General features: G+C 52.4%; 3 protein-coding genes across 3 annotated transcripts, besides 5 other annotated features; 1 reads left to right on the forward strand and 2 right to left on the reverse strand.

Annotated features, from left to right (window-relative positions):
• Positions 988–26,280, forward strand: PSORS1C1 (psoriasis susceptibility 1 candidate 1). Its single transcript, NM_014068.3, has 6 exons — positions 988–1,079; positions 11,864–12,027; positions 15,757–15,833; positions 24,618–24,647; positions 24,844–24,967; positions 25,829–26,280. Exons 3-6 carry the CDS (start codon positions 15,821–15,823, stop codon positions 26,118–26,120), a joined length of 459 nt encoding a protein of 152 aa, NP_054787.2. The 5' UTR covers positions 988–1,079; positions 11,864–12,027; positions 15,757–15,820; the 3' UTR covers positions 26,121–26,280.
• CDSN (corneodesmosin) lies at positions 1,275–6,634 on the reverse strand. Its single transcript, NM_001264.5, has 2 exons — positions 6,523–6,634; positions 1,275–3,717 (listed from the first exon to the last, which is right to left on the reverse strand). The coding sequence occupies exons 1-2, from the start codon at positions 6,605–6,607 to the stop codon at positions 2,213–2,215; spliced, it is 1,590 nt and encodes a 529-aa protein (NP_001255.4). The 5' UTR covers positions 6,608–6,634; the 3' UTR covers positions 1,275–2,212.
• Positions 2,928–3,797: an enhancer, noted in NCBI's record as "H3K4me1 hESC enhancer chr6:31084517-31085386 (GRCh37/hg19 assembly coordinates)". NCBI's record gives its function as "activates a minimal SCP1, AML or CMV promoter by ChIP-STARR-seq in naive H9 embryonic stem cells {active_cell/tissue: H9 hESC(naive)}" and the evidence as "EXISTENCE:reporter gene assay evidence [ECO:0000049][PMID:30033119]".
• Positions 11,579–12,179: an enhancer, noted in NCBI's record as "H3K27ac-H3K4me1 hESC enhancer chr6:31093168-31093768 (GRCh37/hg19 assembly coordinates)". NCBI's record gives its function as "activates a minimal SCP1, AML or CMV promoter by ChIP-STARR-seq in naive H9 embryonic stem cells {active_cell/tissue: H9 hESC(naive)}" and the evidence as "EXISTENCE:reporter gene assay evidence [ECO:0000049][PMID:30033119]".
• Positions 12,180–12,780: an enhancer, noted in NCBI's record as "H3K4me1 hESC enhancer chr6:31093769-31094369 (GRCh37/hg19 assembly coordinates)". NCBI's record gives its function as "activates a minimal SCP1, AML or CMV promoter by ChIP-STARR-seq in primed H9 embryonic stem cells {active_cell/tissue: H9 hESC(primed)}" and the evidence as "EXISTENCE:reporter gene assay evidence [ECO:0000049][PMID:30033119]".
• Positions 12,781–13,380: an enhancer, noted in NCBI's record as "H3K4me1 hESC enhancer chr6:31094370-31094969 (GRCh37/hg19 assembly coordinates)". NCBI's record gives its function as "activates a minimal SCP1, AML or CMV promoter by ChIP-STARR-seq in primed H9 embryonic stem cells {active_cell/tissue: H9 hESC(primed)}" and the evidence as "EXISTENCE:reporter gene assay evidence [ECO:0000049][PMID:30033119]".
• Positions 23,722–25,254, reverse strand: PSORS1C2 (psoriasis susceptibility 1 candidate 2). The gene is made up of 2 exons (NM_014069.3): positions 25,160–25,254; positions 23,722–24,494 (listed from the first exon to the last, which is right to left on the reverse strand). Exons 1-2 carry the CDS (start codon positions 25,212–25,214, stop codon positions 24,139–24,141), a joined length of 411 nt encoding a protein of 136 aa, NP_054788.2. The 5' UTR covers positions 25,215–25,254; the 3' UTR covers positions 23,722–24,138.
• Positions 23,774–24,754: an enhancer, noted in NCBI's record as "H3K4me1 hESC enhancer chr6:31105363-31106343 (GRCh37/hg19 assembly coordinates)". NCBI's record gives its function as "activates a minimal SCP1, AML or CMV promoter by ChIP-STARR-seq in naive H9 embryonic stem cells {active_cell/tissue: H9 hESC(naive)}" and the evidence as "EXISTENCE:reporter gene assay evidence [ECO:0000049][PMID:30033119]".

The following is a 26,369-nucleotide window of genomic DNA, read 5'->3' on the forward strand; positions in this document are numbered from 1 at the left end:
CAATGGCTTTGTTCTCTCCATGGCTTCCGGGAGGCCCCAGGAGTAGGCTTCCCTGGCTGCCCAAGGTCTAAACATGAGCTGTTGGCTGATTCTACTGCTGTGTCCTCCCCACCTGCCCCTGCTGGCTTAACCACTGGAGGAGTGAAGAGCTCCTCTCCAGAACTGGCAGTGGATGGAGCCCAGAGGCCTTTTTGGATGACATGCATGAGTTTTACACAAGCTTTTAATTTGGAGCACAGCAGGAGACTCGAGGAAACACCACATCAGAGAGCCTTCTCTCCCTGCAATTCCCATTCATGAAGCATCTGAGGACCTCGATTCCTGCCATTGGCTGCAGATCAGGGGCCAGATGCTGGACCAAGGGTGATTCAATCCCTTTCTGGTCAATGTAATACATTTTTGCTGATTCCAGACTTGGAGTTTCAACAGTTCTAAATTCAGGACCAGACAGCACCACCCTGATAGGAGGGAATGGGTTAAGTGCTACAGTAGGGGTGAATTCCTTTGCAGCCAAGCAGAGGCTCTGAGAGGTGGCCTGGGGTGGGGGGTGGGGCTCCTACAGGGACAAGCACAATCCACTCTGCCCTCCTTGGGATGCGGGAACTTCGTCCGCCTCAGCCTCTCCCTGCCTGTCTCAGGACTTAAGTCGCATGGACCCCACCACACACTCCACTTTCTCTCTCTTCTCCAGTGGAAGCGACTCCTCTTTCCCACTGGGGCACTCTGCCTTCTCAGCCCTCACCTGAGAGCCATGTTGCTCACACTCTCACTCTGGACCCCAGCAGAGCAGGGAGTGTGAAGATGGAGAGACCACCGGCAGCTCTGTTCTGCCACAGGCTGGGCCTCTTGATCTAGGCCAGTGAGTCACCCTGCTTGGCTGCACTCCCTGCCCTGCTCCCATCCTCTCAGTCCTTTACTCTCTCCACCCCCAGCTCCAGGAACAACGCCCAACTGGCCTCCTACTCAGCTGACAGGAATCTGGTTGGAGTTGTTGTGTCCCAGCCTTCCCAAGCTTCCAGGTGTCCCAGAAACCCAGGAAATCGAGACTCATGACTCCCAGAGAGGATGGCATCTAGAAGGTGAGGAATGCTAATGGTGGAAGAAAAGGAGTTTGGGTGGGGAGGGGAGGGGAGGGGAGGGAGAGGAAACACTGAGGGCCCTAAATAAGGGGAAGGGGGACCCCACGGTGAATGAGGAATGGGAAGAGAATGGATTTCCTGGAGCAATGAGAGAGGAGGGAAATGGCGGAAGGATCTGGGAGGCCAGGCAATCTCTGCTTTCAGTTCAACAAATATTTATTGTCTTCCTCCTCTGTGGGAGCAGCTGGAAGGTAGAAGAGAAACACAGCCCGCTTTTGAAGGAAAATGAGGAACACAGAGACCTCTAGAGGCGTAGGAAGAGCACCACCCAGACTCTCAGAGGAGACCCAGGACTCCAAGAAGGCAAAAAGTCTGCACCTAGTCCCCACAGTTTACTGAGCCATCTGTCCAGGATCCAGGGACAGCAGGGAGCCTGCTTCAACCTCTGAGGGTGCCCCAGTGTCTCCCTCACCCAGGGAATCATCTGAGCACTGAGGGAAGTGGCCACAGGAAGGGGCTGAGATAAGGGCCTTGAGAGGCAATGGGTGTGTTGGGGACGGTGATCTAGGAGGGCGTGGTGAGCTCTGTAATGGAGGGTGGGGTGGAATTGGGAGCGAGAGCCCAGTGGCATATTGGGTGGGTTGACTAGATGTCGAAGAAAGGTCAGTGAAAAGTGGCCACTGTTTCCAGATGATGGTTTGACTTTGCTTTATTTGGTAAAGGGGAAGAGGAAGGTATAACTTCTTCAGGCGTCAGAGGTGCTCTGAGAGCATTTCAGGGGTTTCCCAGTTGAGAAGCTGATGGGGGTGTTACTCAATGGACCATTTCCACACAGTAGAGGGAATTGTAAGGGGTGGTGATCTGGCTGAGGGGCACTGTGGTGGAATGGGAATTTAAACAGTAGGAGAGAATCAAGAGAGGAGCTTTGAATCTACCATTTTGAGAAGAGGAAGGAGGAAGGGGTGATAAGAGAGAGTCTGCAACCTTGGGGTAGTGGAGAAAGCAGAACCACTCTTTTGGGAAGGAGGGAAACTGAGCTAACCCTATGCCTGGGCACTGGACTTCTCCCATATGGGATATAGTGTATGTGCTTGTTTGTGCCCAAGGCATGCACACACACAACAGTTGACTTCTTATGGACTGTTGAGTAACTCTCCTTGGGGTAGGAAAACTTCAGGGTCAGCTAGCTGGGGCCCCAGAGGCTTCACTTGGGCTAGGATATCCCGGATGGAGCGGCAGGGGATCTTTCCAGCACTGCTGGAGCCACAGGGCTTGGCACCAGCGGAGGGATCAGGATGGGGAGAGCCATCGGGGCCCCCAGTCAGTGTCAAGGAGGAGACAGACATGCAAGGGTGACCAGAAGAGCTGGACTTGCTGCCACAAGGCTGAAGGATGATTTTGCCACTGGATTGGGAACTGGAGCTGCTGCTGAAGGAGCCGGTGCCTGGTGGGGAGCAGGGGCTCTGGGAAGCACTGCCGCAGGGATGGTAGGGTAAACCGGAGCTGCTGGAAATGCTAGAACTGCTGGGGACTCGAGAACTGGAGGGAGAGCAGGGTCCCTTGGAGCCCGTGGAGCCGCCTCCACAGAGCTGGACCCCACCAGTCCCCACTGGCTGGAATGCAATGGCCGAGGAAGCTGCCGACTGGCTGGGGATGATGGGGTTGCTGGAGAAGTATTTGCCCTCAGAGATGGGGGGCCCAGCTGCAAAGGAAGGGACCCCTGGAGAGCCTTTCACAGGGTTCTCTTTGGTGAAGTAGCCCACAGGGTAGATTTTACCCTTACTGTAGGTCATGCCTGGAACCAGATAACTGTCAGAGGAGCCACCCACCACCTCGTAGCCACCATAGGATTTGTCTACAGAGGTGATTGGGGGACAGGGCTTGCCTGGAAGGCCACCATTGCTACAGGGGGGACCTTGAACCACTCCAGGGGCACCAGAACCGTGCTGGTCCACCACCACCACCACAGGCCTCTGACCCCCTGACACAGAGTGGGAGCTGGGGATGTAGGGGCCGGAGTGCGAGACGATGGGCCCTCCACTGCAGGGAGAGTCGGGGATGTCCGAACTACAGGGACGCTGGTTGGAGCTGACGCTTTGGCCACTGCTGGATACCCCAAAGGTCTGGGAAGAGGAAGAGCTTTGTCCAGGCTGGGAAGGGTTTAGTATTCCGCGGTAAGAGTTGTCATTGGTTGGCAGAGCAGAGCCATTCCCTACTTGGAAGCTGCTGCTGCTGAACTGAAAGCTGCTGCTGCTGCTCGAATGAGAGCTGCTGCTTCCCGAGTGAGAGCCGCTGTTTCCCGAGTGAGAGCTGCTGCTCCCCAGCTGGGAGGAACCGGATGCACCTTGTAGACTAGAGCCAGATCCGGAGGAGTAGCTGACCTGGGAATACCCCGTTCCTGGCTTAAAAGATCCTGCAGAACCACCCTGGGCAATGCTGGATCCGCTGGAGCTACCACTGGAGCCACCACCAGAGCTTCTGGCACTGGAAATGGAGCTGCCAGAACTGCTGGAGCCACTGTAGCTACTGAAACCGCTGGAGTCACCCTTCCCAGTGAGGCAGGGGTCGTTAGGGGAGGTGATACGCGTGGGGTCCTTACAAGGGTCTGAGAAGGTGCCAATGCTCTTAGCCAAGGTCCCTGTGGAGGAAAGCAGTGGTTAGTAAGGGCCAAGGAGGCTTGGCTTCCTCCCTCACCTTTCTGCCTTATCTCAGTCATCGGCCTCTCGGGTTTCTCCCAAGCAGAGCGCAGGGAGAGTTTAGGGATGGAGAAAGGAGGAAGAACTGGCTATTGTCTCTAAAGGATATTGAGGTGGCCGAATAAAGGCATTTCTTTGTTTGGGAAGGGTGGGCAAACACCAACCAGAAAAATAGAAAATTAGGTGCCAAAGTGAGTGGCCTCAAAGGAATACATTGAATATAAGAGGGGGCTGGGCACAGTGGCTCACGCCGGTAATCCCAGCACTTTGGGAGGCCGAGGTGGGAGGATTGCATGCGCCCCAGAGTTCAAGACCAGCCTGGGCAACATAGACCCCGTCTGTATTTTGTTTTTTAATTAAAATTTTTTTTAAAAAGAAGAGGGAATGGAGAAGGGGCAGGAACAAGTAGGTCTAAAAGAAAGGACCCTGAAGAGACAGAGAATTGGGGAAACTGAGGCTCTGAGGAGTCCAGGCGTAAATTCTTAGGGGAAAAATCCTGGGCCAGACAGTGGGACCAAAGGGAAGAAGACAAAAGGCAAAACAATGGAGGGCTGAGAAGTGGAGACACATATAGAAGGAGACACTGGAAAAAGACAAAGCTGGGGGCAGAGGGGCTGAAATAAAGGAAAGGGCACTCGAGGACTAAGATTTGGTCACCAGCTTCTTCGTGAGAGCCCAGGCTGGGGTCAGGAATGGAAACCCTATTTCCTATCTCAGCACTGGCCATGCCAGTAAAGCTGGGTGGGGGCCAGGATGTGGGGTCACTACCTGTTGCTTCAGAACCTGCTGGTACCAGTGTGTCAGGACACCGCACCCTGAGCCAGCCCTGCTCTCGCTGGCCCAGCCCAGGGAACCAGGACGAAACCCCACGAACCTCCGAGGCTCCTGGCCACAATCAGCTTCCCTCTCTGAGCACACCTGCCTCTGTCCAGCCCCTCATCTGACTTCTGCTGCCTTGACTTCCCTCAGGGATGTGGAGCCACATCTTTCCTTATCTTTCCTTTCCTTTGCTCAAAACCCCAGGCCCAACTTACCCCGTGGTTCCTCCATGACTCTTTCACCTGCGTTCCTTCTGCCTTCCCTAGCCCCTCCAGGTCCCACGTGTTACAAACAGAGCCACATACTAGCAAGTTACTGAACCTCTCTGAGCTTTAGTTTATACATTCAGAGGGGCCAAATTTTCCCTGCCTTCCCACAGCATTACTATGAAGAAAACTAAATGAGATCATCCACCTGGAAGTTTTTTCTTCTTCTTCTTTTTTTTTTTTTTTTTTGTGAGATGGAGTTTCTTGTTGCCCAGGCTAAAGTGCAATAACACGGTCTCAGCTCACTGTAACCTCTGCCTCCTTGGTGCAAGCGATTCTCCTGCCTCAGCCTCCCAAGTAGCTGGGACCACAGGTGCCCGCCACCACACCCAGCTAATTTTTTGTATTTTTAGTAGAGAGGGGGTTTCACCATCTTGGCCAGGCTGGTCTTGAACTCCTAACCTCAGGCGATTCACCTGCCTTGGCCTCCTGAAATGTTGGGATTACAGGCACAAGCTATCATGTGCGGCCAGATGTTTTAGAAAGTGTAAAGCATTATATATTATGAATTATTACTGCCACTCATCCTGATCCCTCCACCAACAACCAGACTGCCATCCTCTGTGATGTCCCTGTTCTCTCCTCAGAAAGAAATTCTCTGCATGCACCTCCACGCCGAACCCCAGCTGTGCCAATTCCCTTCAGTCCTCTGCACGAATCCACCATGCATTGCCTCTCTCTTTCGCTATTCCCTCAGACACCAACCACCCACTAGACCATGGGAAGGTCGCAGAAATTCCTCAAGGGCTATAAGTACCCGGTGGTCAACAACACAGGTCCAGGGGTTGCCCGGCCTGGGGTTGAAATCTTGGCTTTGCTGCCTTCTAATGCATGATCTTGAGCTACTTTCCTAACTTCTCTGAGCCTCAGTGTCCTCATCTGTAGAGTGGAAATAGCAAATCTCCTTTCATACCGTTCTTGTAATGATCAAAAGTGCTAATATAGGCCGGGTGTGGTGGCTCATGCCTGTAATCCCAGCACCTTGGGAGGCTGAGGCGAGCGGATCACTTGAGTCAGGAGTTCAAGACCAGCTTGACCAAAATGGTGAAACCCTGTTTCTACTAAAAATACAAAAAAAAGAAAATTAGCCAGGTGTGGTGATGGGCACCTGTAGTCCCAGCTACTCTAGAGGCTGAGGCATGAGAGTCGCTTGAACCTGAGAGGTGGAAGTTGCAGTGAGCCGAGATTACGCCACTGCACTCCAGCCTTGGAGACAGAGTGGGACTCCATCTCACAAAAAAAAATAAAAATAAAAGTTCTAATATATAATCCAAATGTGCTTAAAACAGAGTCTAGCATATAAAAAGGCTCTAAAAATGATATTATTACTATTAAATGTCCAATCATTATCTTGTAGTGCTCCCATAATAAAAATCACCACCACCATTTATATAAACCTCTAGAATTTCCAAAGTACATATCACATACATTATTTAATTTGAGACACACAGACTAGAGTTAGGTGTCATTAACCCCACTTCAGAGTTTCAGAAACTGGGGCTCAGGAAGTTTAAGAAACTTACCTGAGGCGACCATACAGTGAGGAGCAACCCCCAGACTCAAAAGGCAGATTCCAGAGCCCCTGCCTGTCCCCTTCGCTGGGTCCTCTCCCGGAGTCTCCCTCCCGCCTCCCTCCTGTTCCCAGGGCCCCCAGCCTCCTACCTGGCAGGAGGAGACCAGCCAGCAGCAGTGCCATCATCCCGTGCCCACCCACACGCCCCATCCAGGGTGCCCGAGACGAGCCCATCTCGGACTGCACGGCCTCCTGACTGATGGCAGCTCAAGGACACCCGGGTCCTTTATGCCAGAGCTGGACATTCCCTGGGCAGGAGTCACTGTGGGGAGAGGAGGAGAGGTGGAGGGGGTGGGTGCCCCAGGGGAAGTTGGTGTGGCCGGGAGGAGCGTGGTAATCAGCCCGGTGCATCTGCCTACTCAGCAGCAGCAGTGGCTGCAGTGTGGGGTACCCATGGCCACGGGGCTCTAACGATCCTGCCACCTGACAGGCCTGGCCCCGGCTCCTCATTGCCTAACCCGGAACCAGGCGCTCTGCCCCACGGCCACCCACTCTGGGGCGGCCACTCTTGCCACGGGACCCAGCTGCCTGGCTCCTTAACTCTCCTGCCTACCGTAGCTTGGCCTGTCTCTCCATCTGCCCTCCACTCGCAGTCGTGGGTGTTTCAGCTTTTTCTTCCACACTTGGGTGCCCGCTCCAGCCCCACCCACCCAACCCCAATGAGGTCCCATTCACAGCCCCTGATCTGCTCCTTCCTTAGGACCCCATCACTCCACCTCCACTTTCCTCCTTCAAATATGAGTTCTGCCCCCATCCCCCAGGCTCCCCCTCCCACCACTCCCCAAGTACCAGGCCAGCCACATACCTATTACGTGTTCCATCACCTGGGGAACTTTCTCCTTCTCAGAAATGGGGCACCACATTCCCAAAACCAACTCCCTGACCTGTCGCTTCTGGGGGCCTCTGGGGACGGCATGGTGGCGGGGGTGGGGGGGTGCTGGGAGCCAGGGCTCAGCCAGGGGAGGGGCCTGGGCTGATGACCTCTGTCAAAGCTGGGCCTTGGTTACTCACAGGGCACTCACAGCCCCTCCCCATGGCTGGTAACCCAGACCTCAAGGGTGAGCAAGAGGCTAAGAAGGCTAATTGGGAAGGTGGTGGCCCCATAGCCCATCTGCTGGCCCTGGGCTGGATGAGCGAGCAGGAAGCAGCAGCCAGCTCTGGGCAGGTCGAGGAGGGCCAGGCAGGCTCCCGGGTCCTCAAAGGATGAAAGGAGGCCAGGAGAACCGGAGCCCTGCCATCTGCTGAGAGGGTGGTGGCTTCTCCTCCATTGCGTTGGCCTCCCTCCTGCTCTGGCCCCTGCCCCGCCCCAGCCAATTAATTGCTCACTAGTATTGCGGGAGTATCAGTATCGGAGGGAGGTGCCTGGGAGTCCAGCAAGCTGCCCTCTCCTCCCCCAGGCCTCAGACACCCCTGCTCCCCTCACCCAAACTCACTTCCCAAACCTCATCTCCTCACAAAGGCAGCTCTGTCCCTGGGCCCCTTGGCCTGGTCTCTCCCATTCCCTCTACCTCCTGACCGCCCTTTAAGTTCAGACCAGCAGGAGGATGGAAATGTTTCCTGTCTGTGCTGTCCGATACGGTAGCCACTGGCCACATGGAGCAAGTTTAACCACCAAAGATTTGGAGCTTTAATTTTAATTAATTGTAATGATGTGGTTGGCCACGTGCAGCTAGTGGCTGCCATCTAGTCTTGCTCTTGACTTGCTAGTGACACTCAGAATGGGAGTGGGAGGAAAGAGGGGCTGAGGGAGCTGTGGAGAGAGGAAGGGATAGGACAGGGTCCCCTGAAGGGGGCTAATGCCTTGGGAAAAACAAACAAACAAAAAACACTGGCTTCAGAATGAAGATGACGTGGGTTCAAGTCCCAGCTAACCTCTTGGCTTTGGGCGGCTCTTCAAACCTTTCTGAACTTCCATCTCCTCATCTGTGAAATGGGGGTATTTTAAATAACACTTATTTCACAAGGTTTTTGTGAACATCAAATGGGAAATTATCAAAAAGGTTAAATGGGACAAGGGGTGCAGTCCCCCAGTAGGAAGCCCAGCAAATGGAGCCCTGCAGGTGCTCCTGTCTTCATCCTTCCACTGGGGGAGACAAATAGGCCAGCTTCACCCCCACAGCCCCAGGCTCCCTTTCCTGAGTCTCCAGCCCAGCCAATGCTAGCAGAGTGTCTTCTGCTCCCTTCCTGCCTTGTATAGAGGTGCAGGCACAAATGTGAGACAGAGATACCATTTAAAGTGATGCTGCTCGGCTGGGCACGGTGGCTCACGCTTGTAATCCCAGCACTATGGGAGGCCGATGCGGGCGGATCACTTGAGGCCAGGAGTTCGAGATCAGCCTGGCCAACATGGCGAAACCCCGTCTCTACCAAAAATACAAAAAAAATTAGCCAGGCGTGGTGGTGGGCGCCTGTAATCCCTGCTACTCGGGAGGCTGAGGCAGGAGAATCACTTGAACCCTGGAGGCAGAGGTTGCAGTGAGCCAAGATTGCACCATTGCACTCCAGCCTGGGTGACAAAAGGGAAACTCCGTCTCAAAAAATAAAGTGATGCTGCTCTTTCCGAACATCATTTCCTCCTGTGGGCCTCCCTAGACTCTCAGGCTTGGCTCCCTGGAGGACCTGGGCAAGGAGGGAGGGGGCACTGGGGTAATGAGGGGAGTGGCAGAGGGCAGGGAGGAGTGGACTAGAAGGTGCTGGGCCGTCCCAGGGTGTGAGGGGAGAAGGCAGCGGAACAGTGGAATCTGTGGCTTCTTCTTTTCCAACACAAACTTCCCCTGACCAGCCAGAGGTAGCAAAGTTTGTCTTGTTTTCTTTGTCACATTCCTCCTGGCTGCCGTCAGAACTTGGCCAAGACAGCCAGGCTGGAGGAGGCACAGTCTCTCCTGGCCTCCTGCCAGGTCTCCAGCCGCCCACGTGGACTGGCGGTGCAGCCACGTCCCTCCTCCTGGCTACTCTCTCCTGTCCACTCCTGTCCACCCCATCCTGCCACCCTGGGCTGCCCAGTTCCTCTACTGTCCTGCCCACCTGTGGGCCCTTGAGCTCTAATCCGCCGTGCTTTTGGTTTTTTACTGAAACCCTGCCTTCTGTGCTAGATTTTACTCTGGTGCTCACCATTAATCTTTCTCTCAGTGCAGGTGGTGGAGACCTAAAGCTAATGGGGCTTAGGAGGGAAGAAAAGGGCATCAGCTGAGTGCCCACACAGGCCAGGGTCACCTTCAGTGAAGCTGCCAGTTTGGTGACGTCCACAGTAGTGCAGGCAGCTCTGCTGTGTTCTACAGCAACAGATTCTGGCCCTGCCCCTGCCCGTGCCCGTGCATTGGACCGGGTGAGAAAGTGTGGGTGGCGTAGACACTCTACACCCGAGAAAATCAAGCTCAAAGCACATGCCTTCCATAGGCAAAAGGTGGGGCTCCCAGCCATGTATCATGAAGCAGGCAGGTCACTGTCCCCTCTGGTCCCCTCCACCCCTCCAGCAGCCCTGTGCTGCTGTGTTTGCTGTGCCAGCCTTGGCCCCCAGTGCACGCTCCTCTGCTGTGTTTTGGAAGTTGCACTGAGAAAGAAGAGAAATTGTTCCTTGCCCTGAGGAGCTGCCATCCAGCTGGGGACACACAGCGTAAGACAGCAGCCTAGAGTGGAGAAGCGGGTAGGCACTTGGCTTCAGGGAGGTGGCAGGACTTTCCCCGGGCCTTGAGGAATGATGAGAGAAGCACAGAGCAGGCAGCCAGACGTGGGGCCTTGTGGTGCTTCAGGTGTATTTAGAACCAGCGGATGGCGTGGGTTGGTGTGGGACATGCATGTGGAGGACAGTGGTGTGGGAGAAGGGACAGGCTGCTTGGATCAGGATTGTAGATGACCTACAACACCAGGTTAAAAGAATTTGGATTCTATAGGAATTGCAGTAAATGTGAGAGGGTGCAGGGAACCAAACGGCTTTGAATGATCACAAAGGGGGCTGAAGCATGGCGTGCTATAGTCCCAGCTACCCAGGAGGTGGAGGTGGGAGGAATCCGAGGCCAGCTGGGGCAAGTTGAGGGACTCCATAAAGAGGAGGCTTGGGGCACGAGATCCACCATGTACTGACTGCCTGCTGCAGGCGGACACGGTGCCTGGGTATTTAACATGAGTTGTCTTGTTCAATCTTCACAACAGCCCTACAGGGTAAGTGCTTTTTCCCCCTGTTTCACAGATGAGAAAACTAAGTTGAAATTATTTGTCCAAACCAGCTGCTAACAAGCAAAAATGTTTGAAAAAGATTCAAACCCAGGCCTGTTGGACTTCCAGGCCCACATAGATCCTATTACTCTGCAGCTGACACCATGCTATAAATGAATGGCAGAGGTTCATGGACAGGCTTAAGAGGCTCCCTAAACCCTGTAAGGATGTGTGCAAAATTCCTTATGTATATGAATATTTCTAGAGAGAAGATTTCTGCTGTCAAAGCTGGCCAGGTATGGTGGCTCACGCCTGTAATCCCAGCACTCTGGGAGGCCAAGGCAGGTGGATCACTTGAGCTCAGGAATTTGAAACCAGCCTGGCCAACATGGCAAAACCATCTCTACTAAAAATACAAAAATTAGCCGGGTGCGGGGGCAGGCACCTGTAATCCCAGCTACTCAGGAGGCTGAGGCAGGAGAATCATTTGAACCGGCGAGGCGGAGGCTGCAGTGAGCCGATTTCATGCCACTGCACTCCAGCCTGGGTGACAGAGTGAGACTCCGTCTCAAAAAAAAAAAGTGAAGAATTCTTAAGTGAAGGTTACTGGCTCATGAGGTCCCTCCTCCACAGCTTTCCTCCTCTGGGGGCCTGAGAGTCAGGACAGAAGTTCTAGCACAAGTGTTTCACATAGGGGTCCTTGGTAGACCAGGGCTTAGGCTTGGAAGAAGGAAAATGGAGTGAGCACGAGGAAGAGAAAAAGCCTGGAAAAGCAGCTTATTTTGTGCTGAGGAGAGAAGGAAAGGGGCCACCCAGAGCTGCTCTGGGGCTCCAGGGCCTGTGGGCTCCTCCCCTCCTTTGTTCCTCTCTGCTTGGCTCCAGCGAGAGGCCGTTTCCTCTCCTCTCTCTTTCTCCATGACACCCACGCTTCCCTGTGGACTCACCTCTGCAGCCACAACAACACCCTCCTCTCCTTGGCGTGGAAGCCAGCGCTCCTGGCCCACTCCCAGTAGGGGATGTCCTCTGAGTTGTTTTTCCTGTGCGGGGAGGGGTGGACTGAGTCATCCACACTCTTCACCTGGTTCCTCTGGTGACCAAGAACATAGAAGGAGAGGGCACATCCCCAATCAGGTGTTCCGAACATCTCTGCGAAGACTGACCCTCCTCAGCCCAGGTGCTCCTATGGGACTGGCTACACTTCTTGACTCAGTTTTAATCTCTCCTTCTCTGCCTTCCTGTTGGGAATACCCCCTCACTTCTGTGGCTTCTTTCCTGTAGTAGACGATCAAGGGTGGAATCTACAGTCCGTGAGCCCTGACTTCTTGCCTTCGTCTCAAATAGACTCTGCAGCCAGCCATCTATGCAGCGCCCCAGTGGCTTTGAAATGCAACAGAAACCATCACCCCCGGACCGTGGGCTCCATGCCAGTGGGCAAAGCACAGGTGCGTTCACTGAGTTCCCAGCACATAGCTGTGGCAGGCACTTGGTGATATTTTGAAATAAAAGAATGGAAGAATGTGTCCAGGCTGTGCTTCCCCTTTCTACCTTACTCAGGGACATGGTGCCCTCCTCTCTGGTTTCCTGCCCTGTGCCCACCCCCCACCCCCTGCAAGCACAGCTCTTATGTGCAAAGCCCCTGTAGGTGCTGGAGGGATTCACTGATGGCCTTGGCGGAGGTGGCAGTGGGCATGTGCACTTGGCTCTGACACAGCCACTCATGCAACACCCTGTGCAATCTCGGCCTGGGCCTGTGTGTCCTGCCCTCATTCCTCACGGGTGACTGTCTCCCCTGAGCCACTCTTCTCTCTATTGGATTAGCTCCTTTTATTTCCCCCTAGGGATGCAACACATTTTTATGAACAAACAGCAGTGTTCACATGGCTGTGATGAGGACGTACTGGGGTTTCCCCTGGACATGGCATTCATCTGATGCCAGTGGTGGGCAGGACCGTGCTGTATACTTTAAAAAAACCCTAGGGGGTTCTGTTAGGTGCCCCCACTGCAGCATAACGAGTTGCCCCTAGCTGAGAAGCCCTGTCCTGGGGCCTGTCCACACCATCCTCTTCCTGAGATTATTCCTGGTGTGGGCGGTGCTCGGCTCTACCTTTCCTTCCTTCTTCCCTGCTTGGCTCCTGGTCCAATGGCTCTCTCCTCTATGGAATGGCCTCCTGGAGCTTGGCTGGGTCAGCCCCCACTTTCCACTCTTCCCATGCCTGTCCTCACCCTCCCAGCAGCCCTGCCAGCCTCCGACGGGCCCAGGGCACTGCAGCCGGCACTTGGGAGTGAAGACTGGGGCCAGAGCCAGGCTCACCTTTGGCCACTGAATCCTGAAAGAGGAGGAATTTGGCAAGTGGGGTTCTGCCCACCAAGCTTTCTTCCCCCCGCTCCCCTGAGTCTTTTCCCTTCACCCCCACTTCCCAAAAGCAGCAGGGAGTCAGCTGTAGGGCAGTCGCTCCCTGGCCGAAGCCTTCCTGGCTGTTTCCGTCACACCCTGAGGCCACCCCTCTTATCTTGCGAGGAGGGAGGCACACAGAGGCTGTGATTAGCTGTCACAGTAGCAAGACTGTTCCCCTCTCTGTCCTGCGGAGTGAGTGTGAGGGAAAAGAGCTCTCCTTGTCTGCTCATTATGTGCACCTGTTAAATAGTCATTCTTTCCACTAGGGCTATTAGTGGTTTTTATTGTTACTGGTCACCCAGAATTAGAGTCACAGCTTCCTCGACAGGGTGAAAGAGAGCGCCAGGGTGCAGTCTGAACGTGCTCTCGGGAGAGGAGAGGCCGGAAAGACTTGTACCAGGAGGGACTTCTAGGCTGGGCTGGCCCTTGGAGCGCCTAGGAATGGGACTGTGGTGGCCCATCTTCCCTCCTGTGTTCTGGGCTGTCTGAGTGCCTCTGGGTGAGAGTCCTCACAGGAGGGAGCTTCTCCTACTGCCCAGTGTCTCCCTGGCACCTGAGGCATCACCCAGCACACAGAGGTGACCAGGAAACACAGACTCCTGTTAGAGAGGCATCTCGTGTCCCGCTCTGTTCTCTTGGGCCCTGGGACTAGAACATCTTCACCAGAGACCGGCGCCGACTCCTTGGCAGTGTGTAACATTCAGCTCGGTGCCGAGGTCTGCCCATGCAGGACTGATCTCCATTCTCTCAATGACCCTAGGAGACAGGAATTATTATTATTATTATTATTATTATTATTTTGAGATGGAGTTTCGCTCGTAGCCCAGCCTGGCCAACATGATGAAACCCCATCTCTACTAAAAATACAAAAATTAGCCGGGTGTGGTGGTGAACACTTGTAATCCCAGCTACCCGGGAGGCTGAGACAGGAGAATCACTTGAACCCGGGAGGTAGAGGTTGCAGTGAGCTGAGATCGCACCACTGCACTCCAGCCTGGGCGACAAGAGCGAAACTCTGTCTCAAAAAAACACACATACACACACACGTTTGGGACCATCCCTATTTCCTCGCTCTGCCTAAGCTGCGTCACACCATTCATCACTAGGTGACATCCTACTACAGATACCTTGTAAGCATCTGTGTATCTCTCTCCTCCCTCACTGGAAGGCAGCTCCCTGAGGGCAGGGCCCTGATCCCTTTGACTGGCTGTGGTATCCTCTCCTGTAGACCGCTGGCTCATGAAATAATCAGGGAGAGAATGTGTAAATGATGATCGTGAGGTCCACTTGGACAGGCAGCCTGTGCCTGAATTTTCCTGAGGGCTTCAGAGCCTGTCTCGCCTCGCCTCACATGCCTGGCTCACCTTAGAACGGTCACCTTGACGGCTAAAGGGACACCTGTGTGCCTTGATGGTGGACCCAGGGAGTGGATGACATTAGTGAGGGAAAGAGCAAAGGCTCTGGAGGAAAACACCTGAGAGGAGTCTCTAGGCTGCCCTCTGGTGGCAGTTCTTGGAACAAGACCTGAGAGCCGCTACCTTGGCTCTCAGCATTGCACGGGAGTTTAGAGGTTATTAAAGAAATCCCCCTAAAGTCCCATCCCAAGGTCACATAGAGAACGAATGGCTAAGTAGCGACAAGAACCCAAGTCACAGTCTGTTGATCTCACTACCATGCTATCCTGCCTGCCCCCATCACAGGAGTTGAGATTATACTGCAAAAGGAAAGGTGGGGATGGGGTGGGGACTGGGGAATTTGGGGAGGGAATTGATTACTGCCTCTGAGGATATTAGGGGGAAAAACCCACAGGAGGTGCATTTGGCTTAATTCAGCAAGTTTTTTGAGTTTTGATTCAGTGCCAGGCACCTGGTGGGCACTTAATTAAAGATTAGCAGGAGAAGAAAAATGTACAGTAAGAGAGCTTAAGTTTATACCAAAGCGAGTCTTGGGTCTAATAATTTTGAAACATGAAATTGGCAGAGAAGTTAGGAGTCCCTCCTGGGCTCCTACGTCAGGGTTTGCCCCCTCTCTAATTTAACTTTTTATCAAATTTTATTGTCATGATGTATATGTTTGTCCTCCCTAAACACAGAGCCCCTTGAGGGCAGGGAGGACTGAAACTGCTTCCTGGGACTGTCACCATCACATAGCACCCCACAGAGCAGATGCTCAATGAATGTTGATTGTGTGGGCAAATGGATGAACAAATGAATGGTTTGGAGTTTCCCTGGCCAGAGAGCTTCAAAGCAGGGCAGACAACCATCTCTTCTGTCTAGTCCAAAGACATCATTCGCTGCCCAAGGCTCAGGGCTGTGCCTGGTGCTTTCTCAAGGTAACTTAGCTTGTATAATTAGATTTTACCGTGATACTAGTTCTAGGTTCTTTTTTTTTCATTGGCCAAGCATTTAATAACTATCTGTCATGTCCAAGGTTCTGGGCTATTGTTCTGTAAATCTGTGATCCTATTCTGTTATTTAATTCCGTGACTCTGTGTTGACATAGACGTGACGGTGTCCCTGGGGCATTTACTCCTAGGTGAGCTTAGCCAAGGCAGGTAGAGAGGAACCAGCATTGTCTAATCTGAATGGATAAGCCAGCACAATGGGTTTCCCTCTGCAAATACCTCCATACCATCCAGGCCCACTCAGTCTCCTCCCCAGCTAATGAAGACAGCCTGTTTGAGTGCCAAAATCCACTGCCTATTAATAGGTACTAAAATCTCCAATTGCCTCATGCCTCCCCCTTCTCTTTCCCACTCACCTACCTGCCATGTCAGCCTGGGAAGAATTGGTTTGCAGCCAGGCAGTCCTCCATCCAGTCTTGACTTTGGCACTTGTGATATGACTTGCACAGGTGAGTTACCTCTCTCAGTGTTGGTTCCTCTTCTGTGAAATGGGGCTAATCATTTGCTTTATTGAGTGCCTTCTAGGCTGGGTACTAGGAGAGAAGGAAGGGATACAAAGAAAGACAAGGCACAGTTGCTGTCTTCAAGAAGCTCATACTTTCCAAGGAAATAAAGGCATGGAAACCCACATAGTGCTGTGGAATTAAAGAAGGCAGCATGCTGTAAAGAGCCCCAGCTTTTTCCCTAGACAACATCAGGGGCTCAGTTCCTTTCCCTCCTTTCTCTCTTCTTTAAGAATTTCTCTTAGCTGGACATGGTGGCACATGCCTGTGGTCCCAGCTACTCAGGACGCTGTGGTAGGAGGATCCCTTGAGCCCAGGAGGTCAAGGCTGCAGTGAGCTGTAACTGCACCTCTGCACTGTCCAGCCTGGGCGACAGAGCAAGAACCTGTCTCAAAAAATAAAAAATTAATTAATTAATTAATTTTTTTTCCTCCTAACTAATTCCACGTTATTGGCTTGAGGGTCAGTTTGAGGGGTCCAGACCTCCTTCTTCCTTTCTATCCTTAGCTTCCTGCCACAGTATACCCAGAGATGTATGTGTTTCTCCCCACCCTAGGCACAATTTTTTTTTTTTTTCTGAGACAGCTCTGTCATCCAAGCTGGAGTGCAGTGGTGCAATCATATCTCACTCCAGCTTCAACCTCTCATGCTCAGGTGATCTTCCTGCTGAGTAGCTGGGACTACAGGCATGCACTACCATGGCCTGGCTAATTGTTTGTTTTTTTTTTTTGAGATGGAGTCTCACTCTGTCGTCCAGGCTGGAGTGCAGTGGTGCGACCTCGGCTCACTGCAACGTCCGCCTCCCGGGTTCACGCCATTCTCCTACCTCAGCCTCCCGAGTAGCTGGGACTACAGGCGCCCGCCACCACTCCCGGCTAATTTTTTTTGTATTTTTAGTAGAGACAGGGTTTCACCGTGGTCTCGATCTCCTGACCTCGCGATCCGCCCACCTCGGCCTCCCAAAGTGCTGGGATTACAAGCGTGAGCCACTGCGCCTGGCAACCTGGCCAAATGTTAAACATTTTTTTTGTAGAGGTGAGGTCACACTATGTTGCCCACACTGGTATCAAACTCCTGAGCTCAAGCGATCCTCCTGCCTTGGCCTCCCAAAGTGCTAGGATTACAGGTGTGAGCCACTGTGCCTGGCCCTTTTTTAATTTTAATTTTTTTTTTTTTTAGAGATGGGGTCTTGCTGTGTTGCCCAGGCTGGCTTTGACCTCCTGAGCTCAAGCAATCTTCCACCTCAGCCTCTGGAATAGCTGGGATTACAGGTGCGCCCTACCATGTTCAGCTAACTTATTTTGTTTGTTCAGAGACAGGGTCTTGTTATGTTGCCCAGGCCCAGGCACAGTTCTGATAGAGGAGAGAGACTTTCAGATATGAGCTCCTGCACTTGGCACCAAGATCTTCCCTAATTTTCCCCCGACCTGTCTCTCCAACATGTCTCTCTCTTCTTCGGGTTATTTTACTCCAATCATTCCGATCTACTCTTTGTTAATTGGGCCCTTCATTAAATAATTTAGCCTTTCACAAAACACACATTAAGTGTGCATGACGGCCCAGGCACTGTATTCTCTGTCAGGGTTACACAGATGAATAAAGAGCTGGGATGGGCCAGGCGCGGTGGCTTATGCTTGTAATCCCAGCACTTTGGGAAGCCAAGGCTGGTGGATCACGAGGTCGGGAGTTCAAGACCAGCCTGGCCAACATGGTGAAACCCCGTGTCTACTAAAAAAAAACTACAAAAATTAGCCAGGTATGGTGGCGGGTGCCTGTAATCCCAGCCATGTGGGAGGCTGAGGCAGGAGAATTGCTTTAACCCAGGAGGCGGAGGTTGCAGTGAGCCAAGATCGTGCCATTGCACTCTAGCCTGGGTGAAAAGAGCAAGACTCCGTCTCAAAAAAAAAAAAAAAAAAAAAAAGAGCTGGGATGATGTAGTGGTTAAAATCAGTGTTGTTAGCATAGCACAGACCTAAATTGAAATCCCAGTTCTGCCATTTGTCCCCTGTGTGACCTTGCATGGGTCACTGTACCTCTCTAGGCCTGTTTCTGTCTTCTGTGAAATGATCATGATAGCATTGTTATGCAAATTAAACGAGAGCTTAAGCTGTAGAGCATTTACCAACAGTGCCCTATGGCACATGCGCAGTAGAAAGTAGTTGCAATAGTGTGTAGCAAATACTTTGCATCCTAGGTTGGATTCCCCAGAAGCAGGCCCTGAGACAAAGATTCAAGTAAAAGAGATTTATTTAAAACTAATGAGAAGTTGGGCAGGGTGGCTCACGCCTATAATCCCAACACTTTGAGAGGCGGAGGCAGGAGGGTTTCTTGAGCTCAGGAGTTTGAGACCAGGTTGGGCAATATAGTAAGACCCAATCTCTACAAAAAAAATTAGCCAGACGTGGTGGCATGCGCCTGTGATCCAGCTACTTGGGAGGCTTAGGTGGGAGGATCGCTTGGGTCCAGGCTTCAGTGAGCTGTGATCGTGCCACTGTACTCCAGCCTGGGCAACAGAGTGAGAACTGTCTCAAAAATAAATAGGCCAGGCACAGTGGCTCATGCCTGTAATCTCGACACTTTGGGAGGCCAAGGCGGGCAGATCACCTGAGGTCAGGAGTTTGAGACCAGCCTGGCCAACATGGTGAAACCCTGTTTCTACTAAAAATACAAAAATTAGCTGGGCATAGTGGCGCATGCCTGTAATCCCAGCTACTCAGGAAGCAGAGGCAGGAGAATCGCTTGAACTCAGGAGGCGGAGATTGCAGTGGGCTGAGATCACACCACTGCATTCCAGTCTGGGCAACGAGAGGGAGACTCCGTCTCAAAAATTGAATAAATAAATAAATAAATAAATAAAAGTAATGAGGGGACTGGGCATGATGGCTCACACCTGTAATCCCAGTGCTTTGGGAGGCCAAGGCAGGAAGATTGCTTGAGTCCAGGAGTTCCAGACCAGCCTGGGCAACATGGCAAGACATCATTTCTGCAAGAAATTAAAAAATTAGCCCAGTGAGTGGAGTGCATCTATAGTACCAGCTACTCAGAAGGCTGAGGCAGGAGGACCACTTGAGCCCAGGAGGTTGAGACTGCAATGAGTTATGATTGTGCCACTGCACTTTAGCCTGGGTGACAGAGTGAGACCCTGTCTTAAAAAAAAAAAAAAGTAATGAGGGTGGGGAGGAGTGGAAAGGGAGTGGGAAAGTGGGACCCAAGCACATGAGTGGAACCAAGCTAAGTCTCATGGAGGGCTGGGGTACTGACACCTTCATATTTGTCCACCGTTGGTTAAGGTCTGGGGGCGGGCTGGGGGAGTGGGAGGGTGGTGGCATGTGAGGATGTGGGAGAGAAAAATTTCCAAGTGCTTCCAGCTCTCTGCCCCTGGAAAAGGTCCCGGCAGAGGCATAGGCGGGGCTGTTGGGAGTGATTTAGCACTCTGGGAGTCCGTAGGCACAAAAATGGTAAAGGGGTTCAAGAAGAAATGCGTAGAACACAGTCCCTGCCCCACAAGGTTCATGGCCTGGGAAGGGAAGACAGACATGAATAAATCATTGCCATAGGGTGACTGGGGTGAAGGGCGTTGGGGGTCGGGTGGGGTGCGGGAAGGAGTGGTGTAGGCAGAGGCATCCCTGAGGAGAAATGCAGCTGGTTTGGGAGAGGACGGCCATTCCAGACATAGGGAACAGCACACACGAAGGCTGATGCACATACGCGCAAGGGCTGGTCCCTAGAGCTGGTGGTTCTGGCCACGAGAGCTCATCACCTGGGGGCAGCTTTTGTACCTGCACCCTGTATGAGGCTCCGGGTCTGCCCTTCCTGGTCCATCCTCCAGACACACTGCCTGTTCTTCTCTCAGGTCCCGCTCCGGGCCCTCCTCCCAGAAGCCTCCCCTGACTAGTCCAGCTCACCGTGACTCTTCTGAACTCACGGCGTTTACTGCCAAGGCTATTACGTTGGCGCTCGCTCATGTCATTATTAGGAAATATGCATTTTTACTGTCTTTGATGTTATTTAAACTTGCCTGTAAATTCTGTCTCTCTCAATTTTAAGTTCTGAGTAGAAACTACATATTTTTATTATTTATATTCTTATATTCTCCCATGGCACCCGGCATTCGTGGACACATTGAGGAAGTAAGATAATGAATGAATGAATGGGTGAATCCAGTCCAGCTTGGGGCCTATTTAATTCTACTAGGCTCAACCTACAATTCTTATGTGTTCTCAGATTATTCCTAAACCCTAAGCTTAGTTTTGTTTCATTCGGACCACATGTAGTTTTTTTTTGTTTTTTGTTTTCTGAGATGGGGTCTTGCTCTGTCGCCCAGGCTGCAGTGCAGTGGCACGATCTTGGCTCACCGCAACCTCTGCCTCCCAGGTTCAATGGATTCTCCTGCCTCAGCCTCCTGAGAAGCTGGGATTACAGGCGCCCGCCACCATGCCCAGCTAATTTTTTTGTATTTTTAGTAGAGACAGGGATTCACCATGTTGGTGAGGCTGGTCTCGAACTCCTGACCTCAGGTAATCCACCCGCCTCAGCCTCCCAAAGTGCTAGGATTACAGGTGTGAGCCACCACGCCTGATCTCATGTGTAGTTTTTTGGTTTTTTATTTGTTTGTTTTTTTGAGATGGAGTCTCGCTCTGTCGCCCAGGCTGGAGTGCAGTGGCACGATCTCGGCTCACTGCAAGCTCCACCTCCCAGGTTCACGCCATTCTCCTGTCTCAGCCTCCCGAGTAGCTGGGACTACAGGCGCCGGCCACCATGCCCGGCTAATTTTTTTTGTATTTTTTAGTAGAGACTGGGTTTCACCATGTTAGCCAGGATGGTCTCGATCTCCTGACCTCGTGATTCGCCCGCCTTGGCCTCCCGAAGTGCTGGGATTACAGGCGTGAGCCACCGCGCCTGGCCTCTCATATGTAGTTTTTAATGAGAGTTACCACATAAGCAAACTGGGTTCTAAGTGGTGAAATTTAAGGTTATGCAACCTCAGTTTCTTTTAACCCCTCTTCATCCCTAACCCTGGTCGGATACTTGATTGACAGTAGACCATTGGGATCTCTGAGCTCCTGTCCTTCTAACCTGATTGCCTCTTTAAAGGATTTTGAAAAACTATGTCCCTTGCACATTTGTATTGTTTTGAGACACGGTCTCACTCTGTTGCCCAGACTGGAGTGCAGTGGTGCCATCTTGGCTCACTATAGCCTCAACCTCCCAGGGTCAAGCAATCTTCCCACCTCAGCCTCCTGAGTAGCTGGGACTACAGGTGCGGGCCACCACATCTGGCTAATTTCTTAAATTTTCTGTAGAAACAGTTTTGCCATGTTGCCTAGGCTGGTCTCAAACTCCTGGCCACAAGCAATCCACCCGATTCGGCCTCCCGAAGTGCTGGTATTACAGGCATGAGCCACCTTGCCCAGCCCCTTGCACATTTTTAAGTCAACATTTAACATTTGTAATAATTTAATAGCATTCCAAAGGGTATGCTTTTCAAGGAATTGCAAATACATGTTAAAAATCACATCACTATTTATGTATTTATTTATTTATTTATTATTTTTGAGATGGAGTCTCACTCTGTCTCCCAGGCTGGAGTGCAGTGGTGCGATCTCGGCTCACTGCAACCTCTGCCTCCCAGGTTCAAGCAATTCTCATGCCCTAGCTTCCCGAGTAGCTGGGATGCCCAGCTAAGTTTTTTGTATTTTTAGTAGAGACAGAGTTTCACCATTGTCCAGGCTGGTCTTGAATTGCTGACCTCAAGTGATCTGCCTACCTCAGCCTCCCAAATGCTGGGATTACAGGCGTGAGCCACCATGCCTGGCCATGTCAGTTTTTAAAATTAAAAACAATTTGTTGTGCTCAGTCTGTCGGAGACTGCACGTCACTCTAAGTGTAGCAAATTGAATATAATGCCATAGAACTTTCATATCTGTTAGCATCCTTTTAAAAAATACGTGAACAAGCCCTTGAACAAGTGTTAGAAACAGTTATTCTATTTGTATTGCAATTATTGCAGTTAACCAAAACTAGGAATATTCACAAGGATTAAACATAAAAAGTTGGTCAGGCGCGGTGGCTCGTGCCTGTAATCTCAGCACTTTGGGAGGCCAAGATGGGCCGATCACTTGAGCTCCGGAGTTTGAGACAAGCCCGGGCAACACGGTAAAACCCCATCTCTAAAAACAAAACAAAACTAAACTAAACAAATACAAAAAATTAGTCAGGGGTGGTGCACCTGTAGTCTCAGCTACGCCAGAGGCTGAGATAGGAGGATTGCTTGAGCCCAGGAGGTTGAAGCTATACGAGCCATGATCGTGCCACTGCACTCCAGCCTGGATGACAGATGGAGACCCTGTCTCAAACAAACACACAAAAAGACATGAAAAGTAACTTATTGAAAATGCATCTCTTGGCCAGGCGTGGTGGTTTACACCTGTAATCCTAGCACTTTGGGAGGCCAGGGCAAGCAGATCCCATGAGATCAGGAATTCGAGACCAGCCTGGCCAACATGGCAAAATCCCATCTCTACTAAAAATAGAAAACTTATCTGGGTGTGGTGGCACACACCTGTAATCCCAGCTACTCGGGAGGTTGAGGCAGGAGAATCACTTGAATCCAGGAGGCGAAGGTTGCAGTGAGCTGATATCTGTCGTGCCACTGCACTCCAGCCTGGGCGACAGAGAGATAATACGTCTCAAAAAAAAAAAAAAAGAAAAGAAAGAAAATGAATCTCTTAATGAGATGGGAAAGGTTGATTTGTTTCCTATTGACCTTTGGCGGCTCTGGGAAGGGCACTCTGGTCAGGCCCAGGACAAGCAGGAGATTCATTCTAGCGGGGGGCACATATTAATCTGGAAACTGATTCCCTTAAAACTGGTCCTGCCGACACACCCCTGGGAAGGTTTGCATATACCACTAGGGGTATCCAAGCCATAGGCCATTAAACAGAGATGAAACTTGCCTTCCCATTCTTTAATATAGTGTTCTCAGAAAGGGAGAAATGTGGGCCTGAATGTTATTGTGACTTGCATAGTGACATTTCCAACCCTCCTCCTGCTAAGCCCCAGAGCCTTACATGCTGGACATGGGCAAGATAGGAACTCAAGTTACTTCCAGGTCTCCGTAAGTTTAGGACTGTGAAGAGGGCATCCTAATAGTCAAAAACATAAGTGTTGGCCGGGCACGGTGGCTCACGCCTGTAATCCCAGCCCTTTGGGAGGCCGAGGTGGGCAGATCACGATGTCAGGAGTTCGAGACCAGCCTGGCCAACATGGTGAAACCCCATCTCTACTAAAATACAAAAATTAGCCGGGCATGGTGGTGCGCACCTGTAATCCCAGCTACTCAGAAGGCTGAGGCAGGAGAATGGCTTGAACCCGGGAGGCGGAGGTTGCAGTGAGCCGAGATCGTGCCATTGCACTCCAGCCTGGGCATAGAGTGAGACTCCGTCTAAAAAAAAAAGAAAGAAAAAGAAGAAAGAGGCCGGGCGCTGTGGCTCACGCGTGTAATCCCAGCACTTTGGGAGGCCCAGGCGGGCAGATCACGAGGTCAGGAGATCGAGACCACTCTGGCTAACACGGTGAAACCCCGCCTCTACTAAAAAATACAAAAAATTAGCCTGGCGTGGTGGCGGGCGCCTGTAGTCCCAGCTACTCGGGAGGCTGAGGCAGAATAGCGTGAACCCGGGAGGCGGAGCTTGCAGTGAGCCGAGATCGTGCCACTGTACTCCAGCCTGGGCGACAGAGCGAGACTTCGTCTCAAAAAAAGAAAAAAACAAATAAATAAAAATAAATAAAAAAGACCCTAAGTGTTAGTTAAAGCAGCAGCCTAGATTCAGAATTAAGAAAACATGATTTTTATTTTTCCGTTTCATGGAAGCAGCAGCTGTCTACTGATAGTTCCTGCCGCCGGCCACCAGGTGGCAGAAGGGAACACAGTACCATAGCCCTGCCCCAGCGATCGCGCGGGCAGGAAGACCGGGTGGGAGGTAGGTGCGGCCGAGGCCTGGAGGCGAGGTAGGAGAGTAGGCTTAGGCTGTCAGAGGAAAAAACGGGCGATGTGAGGACTAAGTATGGATCTCAGGAGGGGACAGGAAATATTGAGAACACCACCTTACGGGTTCAGAATAAAACCGAGGGAATGAGGAAGAGGTTTAAGGAGACAGGCTAAATTGGGAAGAATTCACGGGGAATCAGAGGGTGGAGAGGGCGTGGGTGCCTGGAGATGCCTGGGAACAGAACGGCTGAGGGGACTCCATTATCTGTACTCTTCCCGGGGTGGGTCTAGGTCTGGCTCCTCCTGAGGTCGGTTGTCCACCTCAGGGGCAGGAGGCCAGGGGTTTTCTGGGGGCTGGGGTCCTGCCGGCCAAGGGTCGTCAGGCCGGGGAGGTTGAGGAGGATCCGTTCTAGGCGGTTCAGGGAGCCAGACTCCAGTTTCAGGCAGGTCTCTCCAGGGACGACTGGGGCGGGTAGGCGGAGGATCTTCAAAGAGAGGGGGTGCCCCTGGCCAAGGGTCACCGGGGACTGGGGGGCCCTGAGGCAATGTTGGGGAGCCTGCCTCCTCTCGGTCCTCTGCGGGTGGGTGAGAGGGGTGGCCCTCGCTGCCTGAGATGCCTGTAAAGGAGGAAGGAGAAAGGTAAGAGGTGGTGAGGGCTTCTCTCCCCAGCCCCACCCAGCCCCAGCCCCAGGAGGAGGAGCCTGTCTGGATGGACGCAGCCTGAACTGACCCACAAACAGACCAAAAAAGTCACTCTCAAAGAGCTCTCGGTAGGTTTGTAAATACTTAACTGATGGTAAAATGTCATGAACCCCTACCCCCGATGGATCTGAACCGTTCACTTGACCCACTTTAAACTGACCAGACTTCTCCAAATAAGCTCCATCCACCCCTGGTTGGGGTACCCCACTAGCTTTGTCCTCAGGCCAACCTGCAACCCAAAGTGGGTTACACCTTGGCCCCCAGGCACACAGACCCCAGCTTTACAAGGACCCCAGCTCCTTAACACAGATCCCAGCTCCGAGGAAACTCGTCCCCCCCACGTTAATCCTGACCGACTTTGCCACATGGAGCCAGCAAACCATTTCTGGTGAGAGCCAAATGCACCTTCTGCACCATGTCCCCCACCCAATGTGTCCAGAAAGCCATTTCTGGTGAGCCAGATGCACCTTCTGCGTCCCCTGAATTCCTGTCCCCAACCCCATGCGTCCAGTTCACCTCCGCCATCTTGAGTATCCCTCATCACCCCAAACTGCAGTCCCTGCCTCTGTTCCCACCTCACCTCTGGTGTGCAGGCAAAGGACCAGGATCCCCAGGAGCTTCCAGTTGAGGATCATGGCTATGTACTGGCCCCCAAAGCTGGGGTGGGCTGAGTCTGGGTGCCTGGGAACCCCAAGAGGCTTTATAGGGGAGGAGTGGAGGAGGGACCAGCCCAGTGGCACAGGAATACCATCAGAACAGAACTGGTCAAACCCGTTGGGAAGGCCTGGGCTGATGTGTCACCCCTGAAGGTGGCGTCCCTTATTTTAGTCCTCCAGCCCAGGACCCAGCTGCCTGCTCTCCCTATCATGACCCAGAGCCTGCGTCACCCCACCCTGGTTTTCACACCCTCCATCCACATCCTGGAGCAGTCAATACCCACTTGGCATCTCCGTAATCACAGAGATGTCCACCTTCATCCCTTGCAACTATTGGAAGCCAAAGAATGGGAGCAAACCACGCGATGGGCGTTGGGAAGCACCGTAATTACAGGGTTGGGAGGCAGGATGCCTGCGCTGAGGGAGGAGGTGCTTTTCAAACCTGGGATGCAGCTGGGACAGTGTCAGCTACTACCCCAGCCTCCCCACTCACCCCCGCACTGAAAGCTCCCCCTGGGGCTTCGTGCTTTCCTGGGCACTTCCCTTCCCCCATGGGATCCAGGCATCCTGCTCTCCACCATGTCCTTCTTCAGGCATGCAGGGGACCTCCAAGCAATGATATCCAAGGAATTCCATCTGGCAGCCACCCAGGATGACTGCAGAAAAGGAAGGACACAGGAGGATATCCTGGTTCCCTCTTCCCACCCAGAGCTGTTTGCATCAGTCCTGCCAATGGCTCCGGAAGAAGCTGCCAGGCTCCAGCAACCTCAGCCCCTTCCTCCTCCCTCAGGAATCCACCTATCCGCCTCTAGGACCTTGGCTCCAACTCTATTGTACTCGTCTCCTCCCTCCCATTCTCCTTTTGGTCTCAGCTCCTTGATCTAAGCCTCCCAGAGAGACCCCTAGAACGTTTCCCTCAAGGACCTTTCTGCCTGGAAGTCTGTTAGCCTTTCAGAAGTAACATGTCCAAAATAAAATTTGATTCCTCCCAGGTTGTTCCCTGCCTGGTCCGCTACCCCACAGTAAGGAACACCTTATTATGCAATGGCGTGATCTCATCTGTTCCCTCCAGGGCTCACCCAGAAACCTTCGTTACACTCCTCCACCATCCACCTGCAAGCCCCTCCACACCCT

Source organism: Homo sapiens, chromosome 6 (assembly GCF_000001405.40).
Source record: "Homo sapiens chromosome 6, GRCh38.p14 Primary Assembly".
In the NCBI taxonomy this organism is placed as follows: domain Eukaryota; kingdom Metazoa; phylum Chordata; class Mammalia; order Primates; family Hominidae; genus Homo; species Homo sapiens.

Excerpts from the sequence above, each read along its gene's own strand:
- PSORS1C1 (NM_014068.3), top strand. Across the intron at positions 24,648-24,843 it reads TCACTCTCAAAGAGCTCTCG|GCACACAGACCCCAGCTTTA; the intron begins GTAGGTTTGTAA and ends CTTGGCCCCCAG. Across the intron at positions 24,968-25,828 it reads GAGCCAGCAAACCATTTCTG|GCATGCAGGGGACCTCCAAG; the intron begins GTGAGAGCCAAA and ends GTCCTTCTTCAG.
- PSORS1C2 (NM_014069.3), bottom strand. The coding sequence starts at position 25,214 with ATGATCCTCAACTGGAAGCTCCTGGGGATCCTGGTCCTTTGCCTGCAC. Across the intron at positions 24,495-25,159 it reads CCTTTGCCTGCACACCAGAG|GCATCTCAGGCAGCGAGGGC; the intron begins GTGAGGTGGGAA and ends CCTCCTTTACAG.
- CDSN (NM_001264.5), bottom strand. The coding sequence starts at position 6,607 with ATGGGCTCGTCTCGGGCACCCTGGATGGGGCGTGTGGGTGGGCACGGG. Across the intron at positions 3,718-6,522 it reads GGCTGGTCTCCTCCTGCCAG|GGACCTTGGCTAAGAGCATT; the intron begins GTAGGAGGCTGG and ends TTTCCTCCACAG.